Source organism: Homo sapiens, chromosome 5, assembly GCF_000001405.40.
Source record: "Homo sapiens chromosome 5, GRCh38.p14 Primary Assembly".
NCBI lineage: Eukaryota > Metazoa > Chordata > Mammalia > Primates > Hominidae > Homo > Homo sapiens.
In genome coordinates, this window is record NC_000005.10 from 79,755,557 (window position 1) to 79,780,251 (window position 24,695).

The 24,695-nt window shown below is 40.6% G+C and overlaps 1 protein-coding gene across 3 annotated transcripts in view, besides 2 other annotated features; it reads left to right on the top strand.

The window, feature by feature from the left end:
- Window positions 1-24,695, top strand: part of CMYA5 (cardiomyopathy associated 5) — a 110,387-nt gene that overhangs the window by 65,721 nt on the left and 19,971 nt on the right. Inside the window, exons 7-9 of one of the 3 annotated variants that reach the window (XR_001742036.3) lie at window positions 3,197-3,346; window positions 6,255-7,075; window positions 7,506-7,585. Coding sequence is in view for 1 of the 3 variants with exons in the window: in NM_153610.5 (NP_705838.3) it covers window positions 3,197-3,346; window positions 6,255-6,401; window positions 7,506-7,653 (445 nt within the window). In the remaining 2 variants the exon portion in view is untranslated. Of the gene's footprint in view, window positions 1-3,196; window positions 3,347-6,254; window positions 7,076-7,505; window positions 7,654-24,695 lie in introns of those variants that run through there. The other 2 variants (NM_153610.5, XM_047416911.1) reach the window with 2 other exon arrangements.
- Window positions 14,486-15,226: an enhancer, noted in NCBI's record as "H3K27ac-H3K4me1 hESC enhancer chr5:79065865-79066605 (GRCh37/hg19 assembly coordinates)". NCBI's record gives its function as "activates a minimal SCP1, AML or CMV promoter by ChIP-STARR-seq in naive H9 embryonic stem cells {active_cell/tissue: H9 hESC(naive)}" and the evidence as "EXISTENCE:reporter gene assay evidence [ECO:0000049][PMID:30033119]".
- Window positions 15,671-16,172: an enhancer, noted in NCBI's record as "OCT4 hESC enhancer chr5:79067050-79067551 (GRCh37/hg19 assembly coordinates)". NCBI's record gives its function as "activates a minimal SCP1, AML or CMV promoter by ChIP-STARR-seq in naive H9 embryonic stem cells {active_cell/tissue: H9 hESC(naive)}" and the evidence as "EXISTENCE:reporter gene assay evidence [ECO:0000049][PMID:30033119]".

Below are 24,695 nucleotides of genomic sequence, written 5' to 3' on the forward strand. Positions count from 1 at the left end.
GATTACAGGCATGAGCCACTGCGCCCGGCCAGCATCATACTTATTCAAGTTTATTACTGTAAAAGTGTAAACAGAGTTGCTAAACTCCGGGTCTCTGATGTTGTTCTACCACATAAGAATTGTAAATCCAGCCATTATTATTAGATTATATCTATGGAATATTCTTATTCCCTTTTCATTTTAGAATTCTTTGAAAAGTAAAAGTATTTCCTGTTTCTGAAAAAAGGTGTTTTACCTTTAATGCTTTTGGGGGAAGGAGCACATTAAAACAAAATTTCTAACCTACATACTTTGCTTCTTCCTTGAAATTAAGTGATTTTCTTGGATCAATTAATCAGTTTTTAAGTTTGTTAATTTACCCGAGAAAGAGAGAGAAATGTGAAAGATGTTTTCATTTTTAAAAAGCAGATACAGCTCCATGTATAATTCATAGGATAAAAGGGGGAGCATTTTCACTGTTCATGCCTCAAGTAATTCTCAAATACTGCTTCAAAGATGATCGACAATCCTTGAAACATTCTGCTTGGTCCTTTCATAGACCTGGGTAACATGAAAATTTACTGAACTACATTTTTCTGGACAGACTTATTTAGAATGTGACATCCATTTCCTGCTGGGAAGACAAGCAATAAATTCCAAGACAGTATCAGGGTCTCTGACCCGTGATCAGTTCCTGGGGAGGTGCTCTCACCAGCGGCCTCTGCCTTAGCATGCAGTTCGCTCCTCAGGTCTTACCTCTGTGGCCTCTGTGGCTTTCCAGATGATGGGTCCCTCCTTCAGCCCTCATCTTCAGGAGCTTCCTGCCTTGCCCCTCTGTTTCCTGTGCTCCTGCCAAGGCCCCTTTGCTTTCTGAATGTTAGCACTGGTTATCTGTCAGCCACTTTGCTAAGCACTCGATAGATATTATTTGCTTCCTATAATGACACTGGGAGGTAATACTATTATTATTGTTTTCTCATTTTAAAGATGGGGAAACTGAGGCTGAGATAACAGAGGGGATGGATCTGGTGTTTAACCTTGGGCCAGCCACTCTGCATTGAAGTCCATGAACTTGACCCTTCTCCTCTTCTGCTTCTCGTTTTTCACAACTGTGTATTTTTTCAGCTCTTTATCGCTGTTGCATCTTCTCAGTTTGTCTCTTTTTGCTACATTCTTTAGACCCATTTGTGTTTTTCTCATTTGTACCTTCTTGCTGAACTGATCTTTATTTTTCTTTTCCTTTGGTGTCCACTTTTAATAAAGTAATCTCATAAAATTTGGCCCATATTATTAATATTTCAGTAAACTTATCTCTCAGGAAATTGTTGACTGGAAAAAAAACCCATAAAAAATAAATGTAAAAACATGCTATTGGGTCAGGTGCAGTGGCTCATGCCTGTAATCCCAGCACTTTGGGAGGCCGAGGCGAGCGGATCACCTGAGGTCAAGGAGTTTGAGACCAGCCTGGCCAACACGGTGAAACCCCATCTCTACTAAAAATACAAAAAAATGAGCTGGGCGTGGTAGTGGGCGCCTGTAATCCCAGCTACTAGGGAGGCTCAGGCAGCAGAATTGATTGAACCCAGGAGGTGGAGGTTGCAGTGAGCTGAGATTGCACCACTGCACTCCAGCCTGGGTGACAGAGCAAGACTCCATCTCAAAAAAAAAAAAAAAAAGCATGCTATTTTTTCAACTATGGGAATAACCTTTTCCTCTAATTTGTAAAATATGTTCAAAGATTTTATGTCATAAGTTTTGGGGGAGAATTGCATAGAAGTTTGATTTATGGCATTGCATATACCATTAATGTTTGTACGCATAATCATGAACTTTACAAGTTTCTAGGAAAACATCCAAGGATTTTGTTGTCATTAAAATTCAGAACAACGGAGTTATACTAGGTGTCTAAAATGTATGCTGAATCAGTAGGCTACTTTTTCTGTAGTTTTTATATATTTTGTTTAATTTTTAAAAAGTTAGTAATTAAAAAAATTGATAGGGCTAGCCATGTTGGAAAGAAAAAATGGGATAGTCGTTTCAGAAAGTGTATTTTGATATTTTATTTTTGCAAGTATTTTTCTGGCTTGAAGATACACCAACTATATCTTAAAAGGGTTTCATTTGCCTCTATCGTGAATATAGAATCTATATTGATACAGAATGATACAACCTTGGCTATCTAGCAAAGCATGTGTTTTGTTTTGAAGGATAAGCAAGTCAGTTGTTGCCTCCTCTAACCTACATGAGTTTATTGCTCCAACTATAGGACTGTAGAAGAGTATTCTCAAGTGATCCCATTTTGGAATACATTTTTGTTTATTTCTGTGTGTATTATATATGTGCACATGTACAAATGCATAGAAAATATTGTGGAGGGATACACATTCAACAGTGATTGCATCTAAAGAATACAGCTGGGCGCGGTGGCTCACGCCTGTAATCCCAGCACTTTGGGAGGCTGAGGCGGGTGGAATCCTTGAGGCCAGGAGTTCAAGAACAGCCTGACCAATATGGTGAACCCCCACCTCTACTAAAAATACAAAAATTAGCCAGGTGTGGTGGTGCAGGCCTGTAATCCCAGCTACTCAGGAGGCTGAGGCAGGAGAATTGCTTGAACCCGGGAGGCGGAGGTTGCAGTCAGCCAAGATTGCGCCACTGCACTCCAGCCTGGGTGATAAAGCAAGACTCCATCTCAACAGATTAAAAAAAAAAATTGGCCGGTGTGGTGGCTCATGCCTGTGATCCCAACACTTTGGGAGGCCGAGGTGGGTGGATCACCTGAGGTCAGAAGTTCGAGACCATCCTGGCCAAGGTGATGAAACCCTATCTCTACTAAAAATACAAAAATTAGCCAGGTGTGGTGGCAGGCGCCTATAATCCCAGCAACTTGGGAGGCTGAGGCAGAAGAATCGCTTGAATCTGGGAGGCAAAGGTTGCAGTGAGCCGAGATCGTGCCACTGCACTCCAGCCTGGGTGACAGAGTGAGACTCAGTCTCAAAAATAAATAAATAAAATTAAATTAAAGTTAAAATTAAAATAAAATAAAAAATAAAAAAATATAATTGGGGTTGGGGGTTTGGGGGAACAAGAGAGCCCTTCTACTTTTATACTATGTATTTCTGTATTCTTTGAATATTTTTCAACAAGCATAAGTAACTTGTGCCCAAAAAATTAATAAAAACAGCATTAGTTACAATAAAACTTGTTTATATTCCAGTTCCACAGCCTCCTAGATTAGAACCTCAGGAACCAAATTCTGCCACCAGCACAACAATTGCAGTTTACTGGAGCATGAACAAGGAAGATGTCATTGATTCATTTCAGGTTTACTGCATGGAGGAGCCACAAGATGATCAAGAAGTAAATGGTAGGATTGCTAACACAAATACAAATGCATATGCATATTCATGCATCTTCATGTGAAGTATTTAAATATACACCTGTATTATGACTCTTCCCACAAAGCATTTATAGCCATTTACAAAACAACAACAAAACCCCAACAACCATATAATGAAATAATAACTACAGAAGCAAAATTTGGGAATCAAGATCAGGGAAAACAAAATGGCATAAATATTATAATAGTCAACACAAATATTGTAATTGAGATTCACATTTGGCTTTGAGCTCTCAGAATAACAGGAGCAATGAAGTGGTTCTCATTTAGAGAAAGGAGGTAACATACCAGAGTTTCAAGGAAAATAAAGTTTTTAACAGTACGAAAGCCTGAAAGACAAGTGTCACGTGTTCCACTTTTAGGGAAGAAGCCATAGAGAGGACAGTGTGCTCCACAATGACCTGAATGCAAATGAAGCATGGGATGTCATGGGTGGCAGTTTCTCAGGTCTGTCTTTGCTAAAAGCCACCAACAAGCCACAAGATTCATTCAGTGTTCACAGTTCCCAGGGCGTGGGCCTAGGTATGGTGTAGTCTTCCTGTGTCCCAAATTAATGTGTGGATAGAAATGAAAGTGCTTAGTAGGGTGAATGGATGGTATGTCTTACAGCTGAGCCTCTGTAAGTATCTCTCAGCTCAGAAGGACTTCTAATAAGCCCTGGAAGCCAGGCAGTTTGAGGTTGTGCTTCCTGATGAATCAGAGCTGGGAGTGCTGCCATTCTGTGTTGCTTGTTGAAGACAGACCCACATACTATGGAAAACAGATGAGCATGTGGCAGGCTTGGCGTCCTAACTCAGGTGCCCAATTTGTAATCAGGAATGAATGGTAATATATTATACTATTACTAATATTTAAGTCTTTTGAAATGTCATGTGATAATTAATTTAGAAAAAAGTTTAAAAAAGCAATTATAGGCATGGTGTAAAGTTGGCTAAATCTGTCTGTAATGTCATGACTCCTGTTTTATTGACCTATTTCCATATGCCTGTCACAGCACAACCAAGTAAGTGTTACTATCCCTATTTGCAAGTGAGAAAACTAATGTGAGGTTACATAGTTTGCTCAAGGCCTTGCAACTTGTACATGACCGGGGGCAGGAGTCAAACACACATCTTTCAGGCTCCAAAGTTTATTCTTTTGTTTGTTTGTCTCTGTGTGTGTTTTGTTACACCATACTTCATCTCCATCTATTTCTAGCTCTATTTCATGGCTCTCTGAGACCCTTCTTATCAAATAGTTGTTGCTTGGCCTGCTTTTTTTTTTTTTTTACTGGGTTTCACCCCCACCCCAAACACTTCCCTATCCTGTGTCTCATTGTTTCTGTGCCCTGAACTGTGTTAATAACAGTTAGCTAATCTGATAATCTAGTCTGTGATACCATGTCATGTTTAGTAGGGTCTCTAGTCACATATGTTATGTACACTGTTAAAGGGAGTGCCAGGGTAATAGGATGTATTAGTTCATTCTCACACTGCTATAAAGACATACCTGAGACTGGGTAATTTATGAAGAAGAGGTTTAACTGGCTCACAGTTCCACAAGGTGTACAGGAAGCATGGCAGAGGAGGCCTTAGGAGACAGAATCATGGCAGAAGGTGAAGGGGAAGCAAGCACATCTTCCCATGGCTGGCAGGGAAGAGAGAGAGAGTAAAGCAGGAAGTGCTACACACTTTCAAACAACCAGATCTCTTGAGAACTCATTTATGAGAACAGCAAGGGAGAAGTCCACCCCCATGATTCAATCACCTCCCACCAGGCTCTTCCTCCAACACTGGGAATTACAATTCAACATGAGATCTGGGTGGGGACACAGAACCAAACCATATCATAGGACCTTGCCTAAAAGAATGATTCCAGTGAAAATTGCAGACACAGATTCTGGGATATGGGAGAAATATTCTTCAGTGTACAGGTCCTTATGAGGTTCTTTAAACTGAACTTTCTGTCCAGAAAGTACAGCTCATTGGAAAGGAGAGAGGCAATTGAGAAGCCTGCTAAGTTGAAGAGCTCCCGATTTTCTTTTAAAGAAACAGTCTGGGTTCTTAAGTGGAAAAGTTTTGAAGATGTGACATTCAAGAGTCATAAGGGGGGGAAACTGAAATTACCATAGGCAAAATTTACAAAGAAAATCATATGTTTTAAAGGAGATAAAATTTCAGTGAGAATAATCAAATTGGCCCAAATTGGTAGGTTTGTTCAGAATGGTATTGGATAATGTTTACTATTAAAATATTCAAAGTAAGATATTTTTTAAAATTTTTGAAGGCAAATGTCTTAATTGGACAAAGTTACTTCTTAGAGTAGCTTATGACCTATCAAAGTTATTTAAGTATTTCTATAAATTGTGGAAATCCCTAGTGGAAAGAATTCTGGAATTCATGAGAAGAAACCAGGATTTGAAACCTGGAAGGTCATACTGAATACCAAAATAGTTTACTAATCTGTAAAGATGTTTAAAAACCATGAAGTTGTCCTTTTTTTATGACATACTCTTCTGAAATATTGGCACTGGTTCTTAAGATTTTCTTGAGAATGTGTTACTGAGATTTAAGCTAACATATACATTATGTAATTTTAATATTCGCTACTGAAATAAGTTACTTTAATTGTGGTATATGAAGCTCAGAATCTTACTAATATGCTATTATTTTCTGAGAAGTGTTAACAAGTATTACTATGTCATCCTAAGTATCTCTTTTCAGAATGCTGTTGCTTTCACATGTATTCTAAGGAGCTGGTTTTCACATAATGGTATCTGTAAGGTTATCAGTTTGCATTTTCCACTGAAAGAAAATCATAGATGACTTTCTCCAGTAACTATAACTTTTAATTAACTTTGGAAGATGTCTTCGATTTTAATTGTGTCTTATGCTAGAGTTGGTAGAAGAATACAGACTGACAGTGAAAGAAAGCTACTGCATTTTTGAAGATCTGGAACCTGACCGATGCTATCAAGTGTGGGTGATGGCTGTGAACTTCACTGGATGTAGCCTGCCCAGTGAAAGGGCCATCTTTAGGACAGGTAAGGAGATGGATGCTAAGGGTGCATTAGAAGACAACGCTCAGTTCTTCACAGACTCTTGAGATCAGCCAGTAAGTGTTTATTAAGCACCTATTGTGTGTTGAGTGTTGTGCAAAGTGCTGGTTATACAACGATGACTTAAGCCTGGGGTCCTGTTCTCAAGAAGCTCATGCTCAGGTGGGGAGATGGAAAAACAGAGGATCATAGAAAATGTGTGGTAAGGGCCATATCCAGATATACACAGGTTATTATGAGAACACTCCAGAGGGGCACCCAAGTTGGCCTGGGGCAGGGGCAGGATCGGAACTGCTTCCTAGAACTGATGCCTGCAGAAAATGCTTTAAAGGATCAATAGGAAGTAATGCGTTAAAGGAGGATATTCCACTTGAAAAAGACATGAGCAGAGGCATCAAGGCAAGAAACAGTATGGAGTGTGCAGGACACTGTAAGAAGTTTGGTATTATTTCTTAGACTTAAACAAAGGAAAGACAAGATAAGAAAGGCTAACATAGAGAGGCCGTGTTTGCAAGGTAAGAAGCTTGGGCTGCGTGTGGGTGCTGGGAACCCCCAAAAGGTTTTAAGCAGTGGTATTTAACTGGAAATGCATTCTCACGATGAAATCTTTTCACAGGGTAAGAAGCCTAAACCAAGGCTGCACTGCCTTTAAGATAATGGTAACCTGCCTCAGGGGAAGAAATAGTTTACTCCTACCCTTTATCCTTTCCTCTTGCCTTTTAAAACAAGCCTTTATTGAGCACCTACTGAGGACAAGATCATGGCTAACTTGTGTGTACTGGGACAGGGGAAAGAATCTTTATTTTGATTTGCTTGTATATGTATAAAGAAAGTCTAGTGGGATTTATAGGAAGCTACTATTAGGGGCTGTTTGGGGATGGGTGAGAACTGGGCAATGTGGAAGGCAGAGAAGGGAGAGAGACATCACCATCTATATTTGATCCCTTTTGGGTTTTTAACACAGAATACACTTTCTGATGAAAAATTGAAAACAGAATCATGCCGAAGCCGTGGAAGATCACGTGCTTCTCAGGTCCCAGGAAAGCAAGCTGGCATTGCTCCACGACTGTCCTGACTCTCTTTCTGCAGCACCCTCCACCCCTGTGATCCGCGCTGAGGACTGTACTGTGTGTTGGAACACAGCCACTATCCGATGGCGGCCCACCACCCCAGAGGCCACGGAGACCTACACTCTGGAGTACTGCAGACAGCACTCTCCTGAGGGAGAGGGCCTCAGGTGAGGGGCCCTCTCCATGGGAGAGACTGCCCAGAGCCCAGTAACCAAGCTCTGGGTCCTAAACTACCCTCTAACTTCTGCTCACCAAGGGAGAAATGCCGTCTAAAATCCTGCTGAGCTAATGAAGCCGCTGACTTGATTTGCAGCTCTATCACAGTTCACCAATGAACTCCAAGTTTGTAATAAAACACAGGCTACAATGCAGAATAACTCCCTTGTAAGAAAAATGTATGTGAATTTTAATGATAGAACATTCTTTGAGGTATATTTAACTTCAGTCATTAGACAGGATTTATGCATATTTTATGGGTTTTTTACTAGCTATATCAGAATCCGTACCACCTAACTCAGGAAACTAATAGTGAGCTTGTGTATAATGTAAATTGGAATGTCTCCATGATAGATTGGTAACATTAAGGAGCTAATTACATGTATATTATCATGGAGACATACCTGCCTCTCCAAAAGCATGAAATATGTAAAGAGATTCTTCTAGGAAAAAAGAAATGTGACGCACTCTCACCAAGATGCTGAAGCTGACATTCATCAATAAGCAGCTGTGCATCCACTAGGCATTTGGTAAATGTTAACTTATCTACCGAGGTGGTGTTTTCTTAGCCTCCCACCTCCTTGCTGTGGAGCAGCTTCATGTACCATGATGCATATTCAGATCATTCTTAATACTCATATTTTGATAGAGAGGTTTTTAGGTTTTCTTTTAAACCAAGTTTATTGAGATAAACTACTTTGGTAGGATATGGAACTTAGGAATAATGGTATGAAACTAGACAGCTTTTTTTTTTTTATTACACTTTAAGTTCTGGGATATGTGTTCAGAACATGCAGGTTTGTTACATAGGTATACACGTGCCATGGTGGTTTGCTGCACCCATCAACCTGTCATCTGTATTCGGTGTTTCTCCTAATTCTATCCCTCCCCTACCCCCCTGCCCCCAAAAAGGCCCCAGTGTGTGATGGTCCCCTCCCTGTGTCCATGTGTTCTCATTGTTCAACTCCCACTTATGAGTGAGAACATGAGGTGTTTGGTTTTTTCTTCCTGTGTTAGTTTGCTGAGAATGATGGCTTCCAGCTTCATCCATGTCCCTGCAAAGGACATGAACTCAGTCCTTTTTTATGGCTGCATAGTATTTCGTGGTATATAAGTGCCACATTTTCTTTATCCAGTCTATCATTTGGGTTGGTTCCAAATCTTTGCTATTGTGAATAGTGCCGCAATAAACATACGTGTGCATGTGTCTTTATAGTAGAATGACTTATAATCCTTTGGGTATATACCCCATAATAGGATTGCTGGGTCAAATGGTATTTCTGGTTCTAGATCCTTGAGGAATCGCCACACTGTCTTCCACAATGGTTGAACTAATTTACACTCCCACCAACAGTGTAAAAGCATTCCTATTTCTCCACATCCTCTCCAGCATCTGTTGTTTCCTGACTTTTTAATGACTGCCATTCTAACTGGTGTGAGATGGTATCTCATTGTGGTTTTGATTTGCATTTCTCTAATGACCAGTGATGATGAGCTTTTTTTCATATGTTTGTTGGCAGCATAAATGTCTTCTTTTGAGAAGTATCTGTTCATATCCTTTGCCCACTTTTTGATGGGGTTTTTTTTTCTTGTAAATTTGTTTAAGTTCCTTGTAGATTCTGGATATAAGCCCTTTGTCAGATGGATAGATTGCAAAAATTTTCTCCCATTCTGTAGGTTGCCTGTTCACTCTGATGATAGTTTCTTTTGCTGTGCAGATGCTCTTTAGTTTAATTAGATCCCACTGGTGGATTTTGGCTTTTGTTGCCATTGCTTTTGGTGTTTTAGTCATGAAGTATTTGCCCATGCCTATGTCCTGAATGGTATTGCCTAGGTTTTCTTCTAGCGTTTTTATGGTTTTAGGTCTTACGTTTAAGTCTTTAATCCATCTTGAGTTAATTTTTGTATAAGGTATAAGGAAGGGGTCCAGTTTCAATTGTCTGCTTATGGCTAGCCAGTTTTTCCAACACCATTTATTCAATAGGGAATCCTTTCCCCGTTGCTTGTTCTTGTCAGGTTTGTCAAAGTTCAGCTGATTGTAGATGTGTGGCATTATTTCTGAGGCCTCTGTTCTGTTTTATTGGTCTATATATCTGTTTTGGTACCAGTACCATGCTGTTTTGGTTACTGTAGCCTTGTAGTATAGTTTGAAGTCAGGTAGCATGATGCCTCCAGCTTTGTTCTTTTTGCTTAGGATTGTCTTGGCTATGCAGGCTCTTTTTTGGTTCCATATGAAATTTGAAGTAGTTTTTTCCAATTCTGTGAAGAAAGTCAGTGGTAGCTTGGTGGGGATAGCATTGAATCTGTAAATTCCTTTGGGCTGTATGGCCATTTTCACAATATTGGTTCTTTCTATCCATGAGCATGGAATGTTTTTCCATTTGTTTGTGTTCTTTCTTATTTCTTTGAGCAGTGGTTTGTAGTTCTCCTTGAAGAGGTCCTTCATATCCCTTGTAAGTTGTATTCCTAGGTATTTAATTCTCTTTGTAGCAATTGGGAATGGGCATTCACTCATGATTTGGCTCTGTGTTTGTCTATTATGGTTGTACAGGAATGCTTGTGATTTTTGCACATTGATTTTGTATCCTGAGAATTTGCTGAAGTTGCTTATCAGCTTAAGGAGATTTTAGGCTGAGATGATGGGGTTTTCTAAATATACAATCATGTCATCTGCAAACACAGCCAATTTAACTTCCTCTCTTCCTATTTGAATACCTTTTTTTCTTTCTCTTGCCTGATTGCCCTGGCCAGAATTTCCAATACTATGTTGAATAGGAGTGGTGAGAGAGGGCCTCCTTGTCTTGTGCAGGTTTTGAAAGGGAATGTTTCCAGTTTGTTTTATTTATTTATTTATTTTTGAGACGGGGTGTCCCTCTGTCAACCAAGCTGGAGTGCAGTGGTGTGATCTCGGCTCTCTGCAACCTCTGCCTCCCAGGTTCAAATGATTCTCCTGCCTCAGCCTCCCGAGTAGCTGGGATTACAGGCGCATGCCACCAAGCCCCGCTAATTTTTTTGGGTATTTTTAGTAGAGACGGGGTTTCACCATGTTAGCCAGGATGGTCTCAATTTCCTGACCTTGTGCTCCGACCTCCTTGGTCTCCCAAATGCTGGGATTACAAGGGTGAGTCACCGCGCCTGGCGCTTCCAGCTTTTGCTCATTCAGTGCGATATTGGCTGTGGGTTTGTCATAAATAGCTCTTATTATTTTGAGATACATTCAATGAATACCAAGTTTATTGAGAGTTTTTAGCATGAAGGGGTGTTGAATTTTATTGAAGGCCTTTTCTGCATCTATTGAGATAATCATGTGGTTATTGTCATTGGTTCTGTTTATGTGATGGATTATGTTTATTGATTTGCATATGTTGAACCAGCCTTGCATCCCAGGGATCAAGCTGATTTGATTGTGGTGGATAAGCTTTTTGATGTGCTGCTGGATTTGGTTTACCAGTATTTTATTGAGGATTTTCACATCGATGTTCATCAAGGATATTGGCCTGAAATTTTCTTTTTTTGTTGTGTCTTTGCCAAGTTTTGGTATCAGGATGATGCTAGCCTCATAAAATGAGTTAGGGAGGAGTCCTTCTTTTTCTGTTGTTTGGAATAGTTTCAGAAGGAATGGTACCAGCTCCTCTTTGTACCTCTGGTAGAATTCGGCTGCAAATCTTTCTGGTCCTGGGCTTTTTTTGGTTGGTAGGATATTAATTACTGTCTCAATTTCAGAACTTGTTATTGGTCTATTCAGGGATTCGACTTCTTCCTGGTTTAGTCTTGGGAGGGTGTATGTGTCCAGGAATTTATCCATTTCTTCTACATTTTCAAGTTTATTTGCATAGAGATGTTTATAGTATTCTCTGATGGTAGTTTGTATTTCTGTGGGATCAGTGGTGATATCCCCTTTATCATTTTTTATTGCATCTATTTGATTCTTGTCTCTATTCTTCTTTATTAGTCTGGCTAGTGGTCTATTTTGTTAATCTTTTCAAAAAACCAGTTCCTGGATTCACTGATTTTTTGAAGGGTTTTTTCATGTCTCTATCTCCTTCAGTTCTGCTCTGATCTTAGTTATTTCTTGTCTTCTACTATCTTTTGAATTTGTTTGCTCTTGCTTCTCTTGTTCTTTTGATTGTGATGTTAGGGTGTCAATTTTAGATCTTTCCCACTTTCTCTTGTGGGCATTTAGTGCTGTAAATTTCCCTCTAAACACTGCTTTAGCTGTGTCCCAGAGATTCTGCTATGTTGTGTCTTTGTTCTCATTGGTTTCAAAGAAGTTATTTATTTCTGACTTAATTTCATTATTTACCCAGTAGTCATTCAGGAGCAGGTTGTTCAGTTTCCATGTAGTTGTGTGGTTTTGAGTGAATTTCTTAATCCTGAGTTCTAATTTGAATGCACTGTGGTCTGAGAGACTGTTTGTTATGATTTCCATTCTTTTATATTTGCTGAGGAGTGTTTTACTTCCAATTATGTGGTCAATTTTAGAATAAGTGCAATGTGGTGCTGAGAAGAATGTATATTCTGTTGATTTGGGGTGGAGAGTTCTGTAGATGTCTATTAGGTCTGCTTGGTCCAGAGCTGAGTTCAAGTCCTGAATATGTTAATTTTCTGTCTCATTGATCTGTTTAATACTGACAGTGGGGTATTAAAGTCTCCCACTATTATTGTGTGTGAGTCTAAGTCTCTTTGTAGGTCTCTAAGAACTTGCTTTATGAATCTGGATGCTCCTGTATTGGGTGCATATATATTTAGGATAGTTAGCTCTTCTTGTTATGTTGATCCCTTTGCCATTATGTAACGGCCTTCTTTGTCTTTTTTGATCTTTGTTGGTTTAAAGTCTGTTTTATCAGAGACTAGGATTGCAACCCCTGCTTTTTTTTTTCTTTCCATTTGCTTGGTAAGTATTCCTCCATCCCTTTATTTTGAGCCTATATGTGTCTTTGCACATGAGATGGTCTCCTGAATACAGCACACCAGTGGGTCTTGACTCTTTATCCAATGTGCCAGTCTGTGTCTTTTAATTGGGGCATTTAGCCTGTTTACATTTAAGGTTAATATTGTTTTATGTGAATTTGATTCTGTCATTATGATGCTAGCTGGTTCTTTTGCCTGTTAGTTGATGTAGTTTCTTCACAGTGTCGACGGTCTTTACAATTTGGTATGTTTTTGCTGTGGGTGGTATTGGTTTTTCCTTTCCATATTTAGTGCTTCCTTCAGGAGCTCTTGTAAGGTAGGCCTGGTGGTGACAAACAGCATTTGCTTCTCTGGAAAAGATTTTATTTCTCCTTTGCTTATGAAGCTTAGTTTGGCCGGATATTAAGTTCTGGGCTGAAAATTCTTTTCTTTAAGAATGTTGAATATTGGCCCCCACTCTCTCCTGGCTTGTACGGTTTCTGCAAAGAGATCCGTTGTTAGTCTGATGGGCTTCCCTTTGTGGGCAACCCGAGCTTTCTCTCTGGCTGTCCTTAACATTGTTTCCTTCATTTCAACCTTGGTGAATCAGATGATTATGTGTCTTGGGGTTGCTTTTCTCAAGGAGTATCTTTGTGGTGGTCTCTGTGTTTCCTGAATTTGAGTGTTGGCCTGTCTTGCTAGGTTGGGGAAGTTCTCCTGGATAATATACTGAAGAGTGTTTTCTAACTTGGCTCCATTCTCCCTGTCACTTTCAGCTACACCAATCAGACGTAGATTTGGCCTTTTCACATAGTCCCATATTTCTTGGAGGCTTTGTTTGTTCCTTTTCATTTTTTTCCCTCTAATCTTGTCCTCATGCTTTATTTGATTAAGTTGATCTTCAGTCTCTGATAACCTTTCTTCCGCTTGATTAATTTGGCTATTGATACTTGTGTAGGCGTCAAGAAGTTCTCGTGCTGTGTTTTTCAGGTCCATTAGGTCATTTATGTTCTTCTCTAAACTGGTTATTCTAGTTAGAAATTCCTCTAACCTTTTTTCAAGGTTCTTAGCTTCCTTGCATTGGGTTAAAACATGCTGTTTTAGCTTGGAGGAGTTTGTTATAACCCACCTTCTGAAGCCGACTTCTGTCAGTTAGTCAAACTCATTTTCTGTCTAGTTTTGTTCCCTTGCTGGTGAGGACTTATGATCCTTTAAAGGAGAAGAGGTGTTCTGGTTTTTGGAATTTTCAGCCTTTTTGCACTGGTTTTTCCCTCATATTCGTGGATTTATCTACCTTTCGTCTTTGATGTTGGTGACCTTCAGATGGGGTTTCTGTGTGGACGTCCTTTTTGTTGATGTTGATGCTATACTTTTCTATTTGTTAGTTTTCCTTCTAACAGTCAGGCCTCTCTGATGCAGGTCTACTGCAGTTTGCTGGAGGTCCACTCCAGACCCTGTTTGCCTGGGTATCACAAGCAGAGGCTGCAGAACAGCAAAGATTGCTGCCTGTTCCTTCCTCCGGAAGCTTCATCCCATAGAGGCACCCGCCAGATGCCAGCTGGAGTTCTCTCGTATGAGGTGTCTGTAGACCCCTGCTGGGAAGTGTCTCCCAAGTCAGGAGGCATGGGGGTCAGGGACCCACTTGAGAAGGCAGTCTGTCCCTTAGCAGAGCTTGAGTGCTGTGCTGGGAGATCTGCTGCTCTCTTCAGAGCTGGCAGGCTGGAACGTTTAAGTCTGCTGAAGCTGTGTCCACAACTGCCCCTTCCCCCAAGTGCTCTGTTCCAGGTAGATGGGAGTTTTATCTATAAGCCCCTGACTGGGGCTGCTACCTTTCTTTCAGAGATGCCCTGCTAAGAGAGGAGGAATCTAGAGAGGCAGTCGGGCTAGAGTGGCTTTGCTGAGCTGCGGTGGGTTCCACCCAGTTTGAACTTCCTGGAGGCTTTGTTGACACCGTGAGGGGAAAACTGCCTACTCAAGCCTCAGTAATGGCGGACGCCCCTCCCCCCACCAAGCTCGAGCATTCCAGATTGACTTCAGACTGCTGTGCTGCCAGCGAGAATTTCAAGCCAGTGGATCTTAGCTTGCTGGGCTCCTTGGGGGTGGGATCCACTGAGCTAGACCACTTGGCTCCCTGGCTTCAGCCCCCTTTCCAGGGGAGTGAATGGTTCTGTCTTGCTGGTGTTCCAGGAGCCACTGGGTTATGAAAAAAAAACTCCAGCAGCTGGCTCAGTGCCTGCCCAAATGGCTGCCCGGTTTTGTGCTTGAAACCCAGGGCCTGGTGGTGTAGGCACCCGAGAGAATCTCCTGGTCTACAGGTTGTGAAGACCATGGGAAAAGCGTAGTATCCGGGCTGGAATGCACTGTTCTTCATGGCTTCCCTTGGCTAAGGCAGGGAGTTCCTCGACCCCTTGTGCTTCCCGGGTGAGGTGATGCCCCACCCTGCTTCTGCTCACCCTCCATGGGCTGCATCCACTGAGATGAGCTGGGTACCTCAGTTGGAAATGCAGAAATCACCCACCTTCTACATTGATCTCGCTGGGAGCTGGAGACCAGAGCTGTTCCTATTCGGCCATCTTGCCAGCCACCTCTAGACAGCTTTAAATAAAGTGTGTTATTTAAGCTCTTGTTTATCTTCATGATCAACAACTATTTATTTAGTTATGATGTGAAATTTTATATGACTGAACAATGATGATAGTTTCTTTCAAGTTGAAGACAGGCTTCACAAAATAATGATCAAAGGATGAATTAATATCGGGTGGGGGACGTTTTGGTGGGATGTAGGCATTTAAGCAGAAGCGTAAACATAATAAGTGTTCAAGAAACAACATCTCTTTTAATGTGCCAGCTGCTGGAAGGCAGGCTTCAGTATTAGCAAATAGCTTAGAGGTGAACTCTGGCCAAAACAGAGGGAGAGAGGAAAAAAAAAAAAAAAAAACCAGACTTTTATTGAGCATTTACTATGTGCCAATCACTAGCCCAAGTACTTTAGGTATGTTGCCTCATTTAATCCCCACAAAAACTCTTAAGATAAAACAGACACTTTGAGAGGCTACTCAGCTCGTATTAGCAGTCAGGATTTAAACCTCATTTTGTGAGATTTCAAAGTCTAAGTTGTTAACCCTTGCTTTACGTCACTTAGGGGAGTCCTGGACCTTAACTGTGAAAACTCATTGATGCTATATGAGAAGAACCCTGTATCAGAAGTGCCAGAGTCCCAGAGTAATCTCTCCCACCATTTTCTACCATCTGTAAGGAAAACCCAGCTCTTTCAGAGGCAAGATCAGCCTGCTAATGAAGTCTCTGAAATGACTCATTCCCTTAATGGCATCCGTCCCCAGTTGGCATTTGCATAAATCACATCAGCACAGTTGGATACTTAAATCAGCAGAAATCTGGAAACCCTGAGACCTAGTAGCCATCTCACTAGGGAACAGTGATGTCATCTCATAAATATGGCTACAAGGAGAAGGGATGGGGGGATGGCGTTCCATTGAGGGCCTTCAGCTGGCCAGGAACTTGCCTACTCTGAGTGAACCTTCTCAGCAATCCTATGAGGCAGTTAGTGATCTCCACTAAATCAGACTCAGAGAGGTTAAATAATCTGGCCAAAGTATGAAATGATGGAGTGAGGGTATGGAGTCAGGATTCAAACCCAGGCCTGTCTTCTTCTTTCAACTAGTTTTAAGACTGCAGCCCTGAATAGACTGAGGCATCCCTCAATAACCTGATGACTGGGTGGTACCATGCATCCTTAGTTTTCTCTGTCCCATGAGAAACATAGATATGAAGAGAGAATGCACTACCATTCAAATCCCCTCTCGTTAATATTTTTCCCTTCCCTGATTATCCTGGGGACTTTGCAACTAAAAAAAAGGAAAAAGAAAAGAAAAGACTCTTTCTGATAACAACAATGCATTCCAGAAAATCCTTTGCGAAAGCCAGAGAAACCAATGACAGTTCCATTTGTAGGAAAAAAAAAAGACCATCCACCAATTTCATTAAGACCAACATCGAGCTTATTAAAACATAAGGCTTGTCATTAGCTTATTCTATTTGAGATCTTGCCAATCAATTCATTTTTATTTTTCTTGTTGCAGGCAAGCATATTAGGGGCCGGCTAAGCAAAAATTTATAATAGAACAATACAAGGGGTTCTTTGCTATTGAGTGGTTATAGTCCAGCAAATTTAGAAATAAAGGGAAGTTGCACATGCGAAGCCCTGTTGATAGTTTAATGCTGGGTTAGATCTGGAGTTGCTTTCCATTTAGGTACTAAGAGGCCCCTCAGTGCCAGGAGGTGCAACGATATGTTCAGTCCATAGCCCAGGTTTGACTCTCCAACCTCTGGATCCCTGCTGAGTCTGACAATAGATAATTTTTTGAGGCAGGAAAAAATTTATTGGCCACAAATTACTATCCTGTTCATTTGCTAAGTCTACTGCTGACACACTGCATCAGAGCCATCCCCCATCAATACAGGCCTCAATATCTTATTCCCTAGGTTGGCATCAACAGACTGAAATAATTCATCTTTAATCGCAGAGTCCCAGGACTGCAAAACTCATTTTTATCTCTTTGGTTCTTTAATGTAAGAGTTCAAGACGGAAGGAAAATTCTGCTCTTTGGGAGTGGCCATGTGTTATGGTTCTTTTGACCATCTGGTTTTCACAACCAACTTTAAAACATTCTTTACACGGTCCGATGCTTCAAAATTCTGTAAAACATTAACTATTTAACTACGATCTGTGTAGTTCAATCTCTAAGATGTCAGTTGTGGAGAACAAGTCTTACAGTAGAATTGATGTATAAAGAAGCTCAAAACTTGATCATCTCTAGTCAATAAATACAAACAATTCCTCCTTTTTGTCCATTATATTAGAACCCCATTCTTCACTTTGATTCTTTGCACAGCAATGGATAAAGTTACTTGGTCTCTGAGAAAGAACAGCAAGCCAAGATTTGTTTGATCTCACTCCTTTGTTGGTTCCATGAAGGGATCATTGTGTGAAGTTGTCATCTCAGTGCCTATGACAGTGCCTGGCATATTGTAACTACTCAATAAATATGTGTTACTGGAATGAGTAAATATCAATTAGCATCAAACACATAACACTGACTAGTAAGAAAAGTTAGTCTAGCTTTGAGGATAATCTCTTATTTAAAATGAGGAAAAAAATAAATTGTGCCAGCAAAGTAAAGAAGAATGGATGAATTAATTGTAGTGCTTGGATATTTAACCAGGAGATAGGACTAGTCTAATCTGTGGACTGGAAACCTTCCCATGGGTAACTCATAGGGAAGGACTTTACAAGCTTATTTATCCATTGGTTATATAACCCTTACATAGGTTCTGGATTTCATGCAAAAACTCTATAGTACTAAACTAGCTCCAAAAATTGATCCAGAGGTCCCTGAGGGAAATTAGGGGGATCAAAGATTACTTCCATTTGTTGTGGTTTAGTTTAACTGAGCCTGGACCATAAATGGGGTATGAACGGGGAACTTATCTGTGTAGATACTCAATAAATGTCTGTTTCACGAATGAGTGAATGAATGAATGAATGAATGAATGAAGGGGATTAACCAATCTCTTTTTGTCCTTGCCCACTTCAAGCCATCTAACTGGCTGGATCTCCAGCAAACAAGATAGGGAGCAAGAGCTAAATGAGTTCACATTTCTTTTCCACCCCCAATCCCCGATAAAACAAGCAGGCTTCAAAGCTCTGGTATGGTGTAGGAAGACAAGTTGAAAGGAAATGAAAAACAAAAAGGCAAAAAAAGATGAGTAATATTAAATCACACGCACACATGGAGAGAGGGCATTGGTTGTCCTCTAGATTGGAGAATCTAATTTTGCTTGCCAGAATAGAAACACATCCATCTTCAGACCTGCAGTCCTTCCCCAGGTATAATGGCCTCTGGCGATTCCAATTTAAGACCAAAGGTGCTAGTTGAACTTTTATGGTGGGCGTTTGAATGGAATGAGCCTACTGTGCCCCCAAGTTACATGACGCAGTGTCTGAAATAGCTGAGCAACTGCCTCCATTCCATAATCCTCACAGAAAACATTTGCATATTTTTGCGTGTGGGCACCGAGGAGGCTCGGTCCCAGCAGTCGGCCCCTGTTGGGTTTGGGGTAGGCGGGAGTGACAATCCCCGGCTTGTGCGCGGGGGCTGAGGGAGCTCCTACTCACCTTCTTCCTGTTTTTCTTTGAATGCTCTCCTCAGGTTGGGTGGGCTCAAAACACTTTCAAAAATTTTCCACCGTTCTGCTGTTTCCTCAGCTGTTCTGTCTCTCCTGTGTGGAGAGAAGTCAGAAGAAGTGTGGGTGGAGGAGGGAAAACTGAGAGAAATATAGTACAGGGATTAGCTGTGTGGGCTGCAGCGAGAGAAGCCGTGTATTGAATGACAAATCTGTGAGAGTCAATACGCCAGAAAGTAGCTGGGAGTGAGTCTCCTGCTCCCTGGCTCTGGCTGAGGCTATGGGCTGGGGAGACACTCCCGGGGCCATCCTCCAGGGCAAGCATTTCCAGGGAGTTGGGCTCAGGGTGCTGGGCCTGTGAGCTCATATTCCTCCTTCTTCCAGCTTTTGGGGCCCCACCTGGTGGAGCAGGAACAGAATTGCCTGTCATAGGTGGGTGTTTTCAGCTGGGGACACCCACTGCTCTGTCTGTAGAATAAGGACAAATAAGGGTAAGTTTCCTAATGAACTTAGTGCAGAGTGAGGAATCCCAGCATTTTTCTTTTCTTTAAATCTTTCTTCCTCAGCCTTCAGATGGATAGGTGATGACTGACCAGTGGTCAACAGCAAGAGATTGGAGCTTCCTTGCACCCTGTGGCTAAAGGAGGCAGTCATTCCTGCTCCTTGCTTCTTCACAGGGTGACAGGAGGGTCACTGACACGATTGGGCCAAAGTTCTTATTGAGTAATTAAAAGCTAGTCACCAATCTGTATGTGAAATTGTTTTCCTGATCCAGTTGTCATATCCCTCTGTAGGGAGCCTTTGGGAGAGGGAGTTATGAGAAGATGATTCCCCATCGCATCCCCCAGTGTCTTCGCGTTTGGCTATTCCTAAATGAAATCTTTCTTCCCAAATGACCTTATTTGACTTTGATCACGTACAACACCTCCTAGTTGTACAGTAAAACCTCAGTCAATGGAAACCCAATCAGTTCCTTCACTTCTAACTTAGGCCTGTCAATTTCCAAAAGTATTCAGGTTGTCCACAATGAAAGACCCAGACATAGTAGAACCAGTAAAACAATCCTGTGAGAACAAGAGCCAAATAATGCAGGACTGAAGAGACTGAAAATGAAGAACTGAACCTCAATGGAACACAAAATTTAAATCTGAACTTACTGGCAGCTAAAGAGAAAACAGGAGAGAGGGGGAGACAGCAAGAGGAAAAAAAGAGATTACATAACTCATCTCTTTTTTTAAAAGGAAGCACATTTCACTAAGAGAGACAATTATATTTCTTGACATTCAGCTCTAAGATGAATTTTTCATGTAGATCTTTATATAAGGGCTATTGAACAAGATAATAGTGATTGCCTTTAAGAGCAGTTTTACAAAAGCTGCAAAAACGTTCTCTGTATAACCATTATTTTAAACAGGATCTGAAAGCATAATGTGAAGCCACCATTCTGGGCAGGCAGTTTTATGAGGATCTCAAGGAATTGTTTGCCTGTGTGACTGTGGAGGGGTAAAGGAGGGCCTAGAGAATCCAGAGGAATGAATGTTACTAAGCTCCTGGGATTCTCTGCCTGGAATATAAATGATACCATTCAGCCTTTGGAGGGTAACTATAGAGAAAACAAAAATCTAGAATCTTTCTGCTGGGACCTTTGGCTTATGCTGATTTTGCAAGAATGTTTAATTATAGGAAAGCCTAAGCCCCATGGTTGTCAGGATTCAGCCCCCATGTTACTTTTCTACAGTGTTGTGAACTAAGAGTGATGTTAGTTCACACCTGTAATCTCAGCACTTGGGGAGTCTGAGGTGGGAGAATCACTTGAGGCCAAGGAGTTCAAGACCAGCCTGGCCATTCAGCCCCCATGTTATTTTCCACACTATTATGAACTAAGAGTGAGACGCTTACCATCGAGTCTCATAATATCATCATTTATCAAAAGAAAAATAGTTCTGTTCAAAAATTTTTATTTACCAACTTTTTAAGAAGGAAAATCTTCTCAATCCTGATTTAACCAAGTGTTTCACCTTAAACAAAAAGTTCCATATTGACAGTTAGTTAAGATTTTATAAGTAGCTTCACACAGCCATGGCTATTCAGTTGGTTTTTTATATTTAATGTTGCTCATGTTCTCAAGTAGTTTTTTTTTCCTTCCCACCCCTTCTTACCCCGCATTATCTTATGATTATTTTTCCCAACCTAAATGATCATAAAAATCAACCGGGATGCTTACTAAACACCTAGATTCAAAGGCCCCTCTTAAGATTCCGATTCAGAAGATCTAATATGCCCAGGCAGGCTTGGGGAACACTGCCTTACCAGCTGGTCCTTCAGGGCCCAGCCATGTACTCTGTTCACAGTTCACACTATGTGGTGTCGACTGACTGCCTGAATGTTGGTGCTGTCAATGTGAATGTCAGTAAAAGCCAACTGTGTTTTTTAAAAAACAATACCTATTTAGCCATCTGTGGTACACTGCAGTGACGACACTAACTGTAGGCTGCTCCTAGGAATCACGGCACTGGATTCCTCCATATTGTTTGTACACAGGCCGCCCCGCTCCCCTGGGGAGAAAGCATACTTAGATCCAGGGGTTGGACATGGTGGTACAGAGAACAACCACACCCTGTAATTGCCAACCCCTCAAGTTACCTTAAGCACATACATACTCCTTTCCTTTTTTTCCATCCCATACAAATTGCTGAATTATCAAATTCCTGGAGAAGCTACTTTACAGGGTTCAAATTAATGTCCCCTTTGAGATTGTGCAAACACATTCAACCAACTCCTGAACTTCTGAGCTGGTAATATAGCTCTTAAAAGTAAAATATTTAATTAAATTTGGATAGAGAATATGTATTTATGGTACAAATTAAAAAGATACAAAAGAGAATACAGTGGAAATTAAGTCTCCTTTCTACCTATCCTTTACCTACCCAATTCTCCTCCCCAGAAGCAATTACTGTTACCTGATTCATATTGATCCTTCCAGATAGTCTGTGCACATACAAACATCTACAGTTTTTTAACAAATGGTAGCATACTATATATGTTTCACCACTTTGCTTTCCTTGCTTAAAAATATTCCTTGGTGAGCATCCCATATCAATACATATGAAACTACTTCAATTAAAAAAAAAATTTTAGGCCAGGTGTGATGGCTCATGTCTGTAACCCCAGCACTTTGGGAGGCCGAGGTGAGTGGATTGCCTGAGATCAGGAGTTTGAGACCAGCCTGGCCAACGTGGTGAAACCTCATCTCTACTTAAAAAAATACAAAAATTAGCTGGGCGTGGTGGCAGGCAGCTGTAATCCCAGCTACTTGGGAGGCTGAGGCAGGAGAATTGTTTGAACTCAGGAGGCGGAGGTTTCAGTGAGCCAAGGTTGTGCCATTGCACCCCAGCCCGGGAGACAAGAGTGACACTGCATCTTAAAAAAAATAATAAAAATAAATTTTTTTTTAAGTTTTATTTTATTGTTTTAAGAATATAATTTAGGCCGGGCACAGTGGCTCACGCCTGTAATTCCAGCACTTTGGGAGGCCGAGGCAGGTGGATCACGAGGTCAGGAGTTCAAGACCAGCATGGCCAAGATGGTGAAACCCCATCTCTACTAAAAATACAAAAATTAGACAGGTGCAGTGGCAGTTACCTGTAATCCCAGCTACTCAGGAGGCTGAGGCAGGAGAATCGCTTGAACCCGGGTGGGGCAGAGGTTGCAATGAGCTGAGGTCATGCCACTGGACTCCAGCCTGGGTGACAGAGTAAGACTCCATCTAAAAAGAAAAAAAAAAGAATATAATTTAACTTATTTACCAATTGAGAGGCATTGAAGTTGTTTCTATTCTCTTGCCATCACAAACAATGCTGCAGTAATAAACCTTGTGCATATATCATTTCACACATGTGCAAATATATTTGTAAATTAAATTATTAGAAGTGGAATAACTGGTTAAAAAGTGTGTACATTGTGAATTTTGATAGATATTACTGAACTGTCTCTATAGAGGTTGTAGTTGTTTATTTGACTCTGACTAGTAGTGTATAAGAGTGCTTAGTTCTTTATACCCTTGCCTAAACATTGGATGATAAAACTTTTGATCTTTTGACAATTTGTAGAAAATGAAATCTTATTTTAGTTTAACTGTGCATTTCTTTTATTAGGTTGAACATCTTTTCATATGGTTCAGAGCCACTACAGTACTTCTTTTTCTATAAACTGATCATTTCCTAGCAATTTTTTTTCTCTTGGATTGTGGTATTTTTTCTTTTTGATTTGTAGAAGCTCTGTTTTTTTAAGGAAGTTAGCTTTCCTATTAAGAGATAAGTTTCAAATCTTTAAAAATTTTTTACCGTGCATATTTTTTATAATAATTGAGTTGGATTTATCAATCTCTTTTGAAAATAGCTTTTAACTTGGGTAGCATATTTTAAAATGCCCCCATGCCGCCTGCCCCCCTCTCTCTTTCTGTGTGTGTGTGTGTGTGTGTGTGTATGTTTATTCACTCATGTTTTTTTGTAGTAGCCAATACAGTAATTTCATTTTTATTTATTTTTATTTTTTTTTTTAATTTTTTTTTTTTATTATACTCTAAGTTTTAGGGTACATGTGCACATTGTGCAGGTTAGTTACATATGTATACATGTGCCATGCTGGTGCGCTGCACCCACTAACGTGTCATCTAGCATTAGGTATATCTCCCAATGCTATCCCTCCCCCCTCCCCCGACCCCACCACAGTCCCCAGAGTGTGATATTCCCCTTCCTGTGTCCATGTGATCTCATTGTTCAATTCCCACCTATGAGTGAGAATATGCGGTGTTTGGTTTTTTGTTCTTGCGATAGTTTACTGAGAATGATGGTTTCCAATTTCATCCATGTCCCTACAAAGGACATGAACTCATCATTTTTTATGGCTGCATAGTATTCCATGGTGTATATGTGCCACATTTTCTTAATCCAGTCTATCATTGTTGGACATTTGGGTTGGTTCCAAGTCTTTGCTATTGTGAATAGTGCCGCAATAAACATACGTGTGCATGTGTCTTTATAGCAGCATGATTTATAGTCATTTGGGTATATACCCAGTAATGGGATGGCTGGGTCAAATGGTATTTCTAGTTCTAGATCCCTGAGGAATCGCCACACTGACTTCCACAATGGTTGAACTAGTTTACAGTCCCACCAACAGTGTAAAAGTGTTCCTATTTCTCCACATCCTCTCCAGCACCTGTTGTTTCCTGACTTTTTAATGATTGCCATTCTAACTGGTGTGAGATGATATCTCATAGTGGTTTTGATTTGCATTTCTCTGATGGCCAGTGATGATGAGCATTTCTTCATGTGTTTTTTGGCTGCATAAATGTCTTCTTTTGAGAAGTGTCTGTTCATGTCCTTCGCCCACTTTTTGATGGGGTTGTTTGTTTTTTTCTTGTAAATTTGTTTGAGTTCATTGTAGATTCTGGATATTAGCCCTTTGTCAGATGAGTAGGTTGCGAAAATTTTCTCCCATGTTGTAGGTTGCCTGTTCACTCTGATGGTAGTTTCTTTTGCTGTGCAGAAGCTCTTTAGTTTAATTAGATCCCATTTGTCAATTTTGGCTTTTGTTGCCATTGCTTTTGGTGTTTTGGACATGAAGTCCTTGCCCACGCCTATGTCCTCAATGGTAATGCCTAGGTTTTCTTCTAGGGTTTTTATGGTTTTAGGTCTAACGTTTAAATCTTTAATCCATCTTGAATTGATTTTTGTATAAGGTGTAAGGAAGGGATCCAGTTTCAGCTTTCTACATATGGCTAGCCAGTTTTCCCAGCACCATTTATTAAATAGGGAATCCTTTCCCCATTGCTTGTTTTTCTCAGGTTTGTCAAAGATCAGATAGTTGTAGATATGCGGCATTATTTCTGAGGGCT